The following is a 7,836-nucleotide window of genomic DNA, read 5'->3' as shown; positions in this document are numbered from 1 at the left end:
TTACAAGCAACCTGACACTTTCATGTTACTGGTGGGTATAAATTGATATAAAAGGGGGCAATATCTTTGGCAAAACCTTTCAGAAAATATAAAAATTGCAAATTTTCATCTAATAATTCCACTTTTGCATGTGAAAAATCAGTGTATAATAACTTTGTAATATTAAATAGGTATATATAGGCATGTTTTATAATAGCAAAAGATTAGAACGTGAAATATCAGGTCACTGGTTAACTAATTATGACACATCCACAAAATAGAATATTATGTAATACAAAAAGTGAAGAATGTCTTCATATACACACAGATCTGCAAGGTATATTAGTAAAATTAGGTGTGAAAGAGTGTGTATGTTATGTATGACATCTGTAAAAAAGGAAGATTGTGTATTATTTACATTATCTGTATAAATAAAATCCTCTAGAGGGATGTTCACAATACCAATAACAGTGATTGTGTGAAAGGAAAGGAACTAGGTTTCTCTGGAACCGCAATGGAAGGGAGATGTATACTCTTATACATCTTGATTTTTTTTAAAACTATGTAGACAAGTTACCTATTCACATAGTTAAATTAAAACAAATACTTGCTTTGACTTACTTTAGGCATGAGGGTGTCTCATGGAGAGAATCAGTATTTTCCTACATAGTCTTATAATGCTTAGAATATATTACCAGGCCCTTACTATGACCTGAAAGAGTCCATGTGATCTGACTTCTGACTGCCTTTCCTATGTAATTTCCTGTGCATTCTTCCTCTTGTTCAGTATGCTCTAGTCACGCTGACTGCCCTTTTTGTTCTGTGAACAAGCCAAACTGTTTCTCACTTCAGGTCCTTGTACTTGCTGTTCCTTTTGCCTGGAATACTCCTCCCAAGATACTTCTATGGTTCATTTCCTTACTCGGTGCACGCTTCTGTTCAAATGTCACAAACTTAGGCCTTTCTTGACCATCATATCTAAAATGGCACCCCAAACCCCCTCTGCCTTCTTATTCCACTTTATTTTTCTTCATAGCACGAATAGCTACTTGTTTATTTATCTGTCTACTCTCTCCTCACCTGCATCTCTCGCTCTCTCTCTCTCTGACACACACATGCGCGCACGCACATTGTCTCCATGAAGGCTGAGCTTTATTTTTATCTCCAGTGCCTAGAATTGTGTGTAGTGCCTAGTAGGTGCCAAGTATATGTCTGTTGGATAAATAAATGAATTAATGGTGAATTTTAGGAAAAAGTATTTTGCTGTTGTAGTCTTTTAATAGGGCATTGGCATATCATGGATTCAGAGAATAATCTTTACTTGCTTAAGTGACTAGCTTCACTGTGTATATTGCAAGTAGATGAGGAGTTGAGGTTATTGAATGGTTACTTGTCTTCAGGCAGATCATTCTTTCATAGGATTAGATCAGCCTTAATTCCTGATTATTCATGACCTCACAGTGTGATATAGGAGTACGCTTTTTCTGGTTTTAAAATGAACTAGTTAGCAGCTCCATTGTATTGACTTTTCTCTGCTTGTATCCTGTTTTCCTCCAGCATTTCTTATACTGAAGCAGTGGAGATCTTAAAGCAAGCATCCCAGAACTTCACCTTTACCCCAGAGGTAGTATTTTGTGTGTATGTATATATGTGTGTGTGAAAATGCTTCCTTCTTGTCTTTAGCTTACTGTGTTAAGAATCTTTCAAAATCATCTTAATTCTCTTATTAGCAAAATATGGCATTTGCTCATTTGTACACAGACTTAAGATTTTGATGTTTGCTGAATCTTGTTGAGATACTTAAAACGGAATTAATTAAGAATAAAAATAAATTTTATCATTTGGAATAGCAGTGACTAAAGGGTTATAAAGGAGTCTCCCACGTTTAGGAAGATGAAAATTCTAAAAAAGAAAGATAATCATAGACTATTACTGTAGAGACCAGGTGTTGGGGCTCACGCCTATAATTCCAGCACTTTGGGAGGCCAAGGCAGGCAGATTGCTTGAGCCCCAAAGTTCAAGACCAGCCTGGGCAATACAGTGAGACCCTGTCTCTACCCAAAAAAAAAAAAAAAAAAGTGAATTTTTAAAAAAAGAATATTACTGTAAAAGTCAACTAGTTCTGTGTTTTCCAAAATATATTCTGAATGACATTAAAAGATGACCAGGCTGGGTGCGGTGGCTCACACCTGTAATCCCAGTACTTTGGGAGGCTGAGGCGGGTGGATCACAAGGTCAGGAGATCGAGACCATCCTGGCTAACATGGTGAAACCCCGTCTCTACTAAAAATACAAAAAATTAGCTGGGTGAGGTGGCGGGCGCCTGTAGTCCCAGCTACTCAGGAGGCTGAGGCAGGAGAATGGCATGAACCCGGGGGGCAGAGTCTGCAGTGAGCAGAGATCACCACTGCATTCCAGCCTCGGCAACAGCGAGACTCCATCTCAAAAAAAAAAAAAAAGATGACCAACAAAAGAAGTTATATTATCAAATAAGTTTAGGCAACATAACTAAACAGGTGTGTTTTTCTTTTTCTTTTTTTTCTTTTTTTTTTTTTTTTTTCAGATTTAGTGCTTGCAGAAGCAGGTTTGTTTTTCAGTTGAACTTTACGGAGCCTTTTAGTTTATGAGCCACTCTGGAAAATACTGGGGTTTTTTTGTTTGTTTTGCTTTTAAAGAACTTTATATTTAAGAGATGGAGGTCTCGTTATGATGCCTGAGCTCATCTTGAACTCCTAGGCTCAAGGGATCCGCCACTTCAGCCTGCCAAGTAACTGGGACTAGAGGAGCATGCCTCAGTACCCAGCCAAGAATTCTTTTTTTTTTTTTTTTTTCAATACTTACTTGATAAACAAAGATTGTATAGGCCGGGTGTGGTAGTTCACACCTGTAATCCCAACACTTTAAGAGGCCAAGGTAGGATTGCTTGAGCCCAGGAGTTTAAAATTGCAGTGAGCCATGATCGACTACAGCCCTCCAGCCTAGGTGACAGAGAAAGACCTTGTCTCGAAGAACAACAACAAAAGAAGATTGTATATATTCAGGGTATACGACATGATGATTTGATACATGTATACATTGTGTAACAGATTATCATAATCAAATTAGTTAACACATCTGTCATTACCCACACTGTACATTAGATCCCCAGAACTTGTTCATCTTATAACTGAAAGTGTATACACTTTGACAAATATCACCTCATTTGCCCCATTCCCAGACCCCTGACAACCACTGTACAACTCTCTCTTTCTGTGAAGGAACTCCTTTGTTTATTTTTTATTGTATTTAATTAATTAATTAATTTATTTATTTATTTATTTATTTATTTTTTGAAAGACAAGATCTCTCTGTGTTGCCGAGGCTGGAGTGCAGTGGTGCAAACATGGCTCACTGCAGATTCCACCTCCCAGGCTCTCATCATTCCTCCCAACTCAGTCTCCCAACTATCTGGGACTACAGGTGCGTGCCACCAGGTCTGGCTGATTTTTTTATTTTTTGTAGAGACAGGGTTATGTTGCCTAGGCTAGTCTCGGGCTTCTGTGCTCAAGCACTCCTCGGCTTCCCAAGGTGCTGGGATTAAAGGCATGAGCCACCATGCCTGGCCAGAGCTTTTTTATTTTATTGGCAATGATATAGGTCCAGAGAGACCACATGGTCTGTCAATGGACATATGTATAATGTTGGAGGCAAAACTCTTTTCCTATTCCAGTTATTTTTTCCTGTAACTAAGATACTGCCAAACAAGTGGTAGTAATAAGATAATGTTAACCTTTGTGTTTAAACTATTCCTTGTACCGGTTCAATCCCAATTAAGTCAGATCTTTATGTATTACAAAAGTAACCTCTGTTTGTTATATTTATGATCAATTCTTTGTGTAAGTTTTCATTTCTTTTTCTCCTAACCCTGGAAGCTTCATGAAGTCAGGGATTATAACTTTTTCTTACCACTATATCCAGTATATCATATGGTACCTGGAATTTAATAGGCACATTAGTATTTGCTTAATAAATATATTGAACAGAGTTAATAAATATTCATCAAAGAGCATCTCATACATGAGTTGACTCTTTTTATTTAAAAAGAAGTCACCGGCCATCACTGTGGCTCACACCTGTAATCCCAGCACTTTGGGAGGCCAAGGTGGGCAGATCACGAAATCAGGAGTTCAAGACCAGCCTGGCCAACGTAGTGAAACCCCATCTCTACTGAAAATACAAAAAAAATAGCCGGGCATGGTGGCGGGCACCTGAAGTCCCAGTTACTTGGGAGGCTGAGGCAGGAGAATCACTTGAACCCGGGAGACAGAGGTTGCAGTGAGCCGAGATTGCACCACTGCACTCTAGCCTGGGCGACACAGCCAGACTCTGTCTCAAAAAAAACAAAAGTCACCAAGAGAAGTCATTTAGCCAAAGATAGGCTCAATATTAGGAATATTATCTTCTATCATTTAATTTCCTGAGACTTAGGAACAATAACGTGGAAGAAGCTGTAGGCACTATTAAAAATTGTGATTCTGAAGTCAGGTTTTTTTTTTTATCTCCTTGTAAAGTAGACTTTGTTTTCCTGCAGGTGCTGTATTGTCTGCTCCTGGGGGGTGGGGGTGGGGGAGCAATGGGGACACAGTAAGCATAGTGTCTATCTACTGGCCTCAGCTTTCATCTTTCCAGGCCTGTAGGTGTTCTTGTTAACAAATATCTCTCTCTTGTTTAGTCAGCTGTGTAACCTTAGCAGCTAGCTCCACACATGGAGCCTCAGGAAGATGAAGCCCTTAGAATTGATGCAGGTTATTTTCAGCTGCTTAATTGTATATTTCACCTCTGTCTCCTCTTTTGGTCATTTCTTTCTTCTCATTACAGTGGGGTGCTGACCTACGGACTGAACATGAAAAGTACCTGGTGAAGCACTGTGGCAACATACCTGTCTTCGTTATTAATTATCCATTAACACTCAAGCCTTTCTACATGAGGGATAATGAAGATGGCCCTCAGCACACGGTAAGAAGAGATACTAAATAAATTGGGGTTAGTCCTCTTAGGTTGGGTTTTTCATTTAGCCTTTGTGATCTTTTCTTAAATGTCATCTATCACTCTATCTCTTAAAATGATAATGTTTTTCAAAGACATCTCTTAAAAATTTTTCCCAAAGAAGATCCCAGTGTTCTATAAACGTACTTCCTCATTTCTGTCACAAGGTCTTCTTCTTAGTTTAGCAGGTGCAAATCTAGGTTTTCTTTGTTTCGTTTTGTTATGTTTCATTTTGTTTTGTTTTGTTTTGTAATGACTGAGAGGAAGTGGCCTAGAACACTGTATGGCTATACCAAGCTTGTTAGTCTGTGGTGAAGTACTGGTTAGGAGACTCCTAGGAGGGAAGGCATACTGGGCAAGAGATGAGAGCAGTGGCACTGAGAGGTGACAGCGTGCTGGTAGCCCTCACAGCCCTCTCTCGCTCTCGGCGCCTCCTCGGCCTTGGCGCCCACTTTGGCGGCACTTGAGGAGCCCTTCAGCCTGCCACTGCACTGTGGGAGCCCCTTTCTGGGCTGGCCAAGGCCGGAGCCGGCTCCCTCAGCTTGTGGGGTGGTGTGGAGGGAGAGGCATGGGCGGGAACCAGGGCTGCCTGCGGTGCTTGCGGGCCAGTGCGAGTTCCAGGTGGGTGTGGGCTCGGCGGGCCCCACCTGCTCCGGGCAGTGAGGGGCTTAGCACCTGGGCCAGCAGCAGCTGTGCTCAATTTCCTGCCAGGCCTTAGCTGCCTTCCCGTGGGGCAGGGCTCGGGACCTGCAGCCCCCCATGCCTGAGCCTCCCCACCCCTCCGTGGGCTCCTGTGTCGCTGAAGCCTCCCTGACGAGCGCCGCCCCCTGCTCCACGGCGCCCAGTCCCATTGACCACCCAAGGGCTGAGGAGTGCAGGCGCATGGCGCGGGACTGGCAGGCAGGTCCACCTGCAGCCCCAGTGTGGGATCCACTGGGTGAAGCCAGCTGGGCTCCTGAGTCTGGTGGGGACGTGGAGAACCTTTATGTCTAGCTAAGAGATTGTAAATACACCAATCGGCACTCTGTATCTAGCTCAAGGTTTGTAAACACACCAAACAGCACCCTCTGTCTAGCTCAGGGTTTGTGAATGCACCAGTGGACACTCTGTTTCTAGCTACTCTGATGGGGACTTGGAGAACCTTTATGTCTAGCTAAGGGATTGTAAATACACCAATCAGCACTCTATCTAGCTCAAGGTTTGAAAACACACCAATCAGCACCCTGTGTCTAGCTCAGGGTTGTGAATGCACCAGTGGACACTGTCTAGCTACTCTGGTGGGGACTTGGAGAACCTTTGTGTGGACACTCTGTATCTAGCTAATCTGGTGGGGACGTGGAGAACCTTTGTGTCTAGCTCAGGGACTGTAAATGTACCAATCAGCGCCCTGTCAAAACAGACCACTCTGCTCTACCAATCAGCAGGATGTGGGTGGGGCCAGATAAGAGAATAAAAGCAGGCTGCCCGAGCCAGCAGTAGCAACCCGCTCGGGTCCCCTTCCACACTGTGGAAGTTTTGTTCTTTCGCTCTTTGCAATAAATCTTGCTCCTGCTCACTCTTTGGGTCCACACTGCCTTTATGAGCTGTAACACTCACCGCGAAGATCTGCAGCTTCACTCCTGAAGCCAGCGAGCCCACGAGCCCACCGGGAGGAATGAAGAACTCCAGACACGCCGCCTAAAGAGCTGTTAACACTCACCGCGAAGGTCTGCAGCTTCACTCCTGAGCCAGCCAGACCACGAACCCACCAGAAGGAAGAAACTCCAAACACATCCGAACATCAGAAGGAACAAACTCCGGACGCGCCGCCTTTAAGAACTGTAACACTCACCGTGAGGGTCCGCGGCTTCATTGTTGAAGTCAGTGAGACCAAGAACCCACCAATTCCGGACACTGCACAATCAGGCAAAGGAAAAGCTGGCTTGGCAGAGCAGGAGGAGGCTTAGACTGCTTTGGTTTGGACTATCAAATAGAAATAGTGAGGGGAGGGCTATGAAGGGATACAGGCAGTCTAGGCAGATTTTCCCTGTCTCAGCTCTTGTCTGACCGTCTCTTCTCTGTCTGCCTGTTTTGTCTCTCTCATCCCTTTACCGTTTCTTGTCCTGTGGTTTTTTTTTTTTTTTTTTTTTTTTGACCTTAACTATAGTTGTCTTTTTTTTGAGATAGAATTTCACTCTTGTCACCCAGGCTGGGGTGCAATGGCGTGATCTCAGCTCACTGCAACCTCTGCCTCCCAGGTTCAAGTGATTTTCCTGCCTCAGCCTCCCAAGTAGCTGGGATTATAGGCGTGTGCCGCCACACCCATCAGATTTTTGTATTTTTAGTAGAGACAGGGTTTCACCATGTTGGCCAGGCTGGTCTTTAACTCCTGACCTCAGGTAGTCTGCCCTCCTCAGCCTCCCAAAGTGCTTGGATTACAGGCGTGAGCCACTGCACCTGGCCTGCCTTTTTTATTCTTTTGGTTTTTACAAAATTAGCTATAACATGGCCAGGTATAGTGGCTCACGTTTGTAATCCTAGCACTTTGGTAGTCCAAGGTGGGAAAATTGCTTGAGACCAGGAATTCAAGACCAGCCTGTTGAACATAGGAAGACCCTATCTCAACAAAAAATAAATTAGCCAGGTGTAGTGGTGTGCACCTGTAGTCTATCTACTCAAGAGGCTGAGGTGAGAGAATTACTGGAGCCTAGGAACTCGAGGCTTCAGTGAGCCATAATGGTGTCACTGTGCTCCAGCCTGGGCGACAGAGGGAGCCCCCTATGTGAAAAACAAATAATTAAATTTTAAAGTTGGCAATAATATAAAGTAAGAATATATTTTACTTTTCTAAAT

The 7,836-nt window shown here is 43.2% G+C and overlaps 1 protein-coding gene across 25 annotated transcripts in view, besides 4 other annotated features; it reads left to right on the top strand.

Annotated features, from left to right (window-relative positions):
- NARS2 (asparaginyl-tRNA synthetase 2, mitochondrial) overlaps window positions 1-7,836 on the top strand; it is a 138,897-nt gene that overhangs the window by 104,015 nt on the left and 27,046 nt on the right. For 19 of the 25 annotated variants that reach the window (NR_189155.1, NR_189156.1, NR_189154.1 and 16 more), the window contains 2 exons: window positions 1,537-1,603; window positions 4,837-4,974. The exons of 1 other annotated variant lie outside the window; for it this stretch is intronic. Coding sequence is in view for 20 of the 24 variants with exons in the window: in NM_001425314.1 (NP_001412243.1) it covers window positions 1,537-1,603; window positions 4,837-4,974 (205 nt within the window). In the remaining 4 variants the exon portion in view is untranslated. Of the gene's footprint in view, window positions 1-1,536; window positions 1,604-3,315; window positions 3,439-4,836; window positions 4,975-7,836 lie in introns of those variants that run through there. 5 more of the 25 variants (NM_001425310.1, NM_001425299.1, NM_001425304.1 and 2 more) reach the window with 3 other exon arrangements.
- Window positions 3,357-3,524: a silencer, noted in NCBI's record as "fragment chr11:78178372-78178539 (GRCh37/hg19 assembly coordinates)". NCBI's record gives its function as "represses an EF-1alpha promoter that drives an FKBP-Casp9 reporter gene in an ReSE screen in HepG2 liver carcinoma cells {active_cell/tissue: HepG2}" and the evidence as "EXISTENCE:reporter gene assay evidence [ECO:0000049][PMID:32094911]".
- Window positions 4,751-4,810: an enhancer, noted in NCBI's record as "active region_5326". NCBI's record gives its function as "activates an Ori minimal core promoter by ATAC-STARR-seq in GM12878 lymphoblastoid cells {active_cell/tissue: GM12878}" and the evidence as "EXISTENCE:reporter gene assay evidence [ECO:0000049][PMID:35858748]".
- Window positions 4,921-5,160: an enhancer, noted in NCBI's record as "active region_5325". NCBI's record gives its function as "activates an Ori minimal core promoter by ATAC-STARR-seq in GM12878 lymphoblastoid cells {active_cell/tissue: GM12878}" and the evidence as "EXISTENCE:reporter gene assay evidence [ECO:0000049][PMID:35858748]".
- Window positions 5,331-5,380: an enhancer, noted in NCBI's record as "active region_5324". NCBI's record gives its function as "activates an Ori minimal core promoter by ATAC-STARR-seq in GM12878 lymphoblastoid cells {active_cell/tissue: GM12878}" and the evidence as "EXISTENCE:reporter gene assay evidence [ECO:0000049][PMID:35858748]".

This window comes from Homo sapiens, chromosome 11 (genome assembly GCF_000001405.40).
Source record: "Homo sapiens chromosome 11, GRCh38.p14 Primary Assembly".
NCBI lineage: Eukaryota > Metazoa > Chordata > Mammalia > Primates > Hominidae > Homo > Homo sapiens.
Note: the sequence above shows the minus strand (reverse complement) of the source record. Positions and strands in the feature narration are given on the sequence as shown.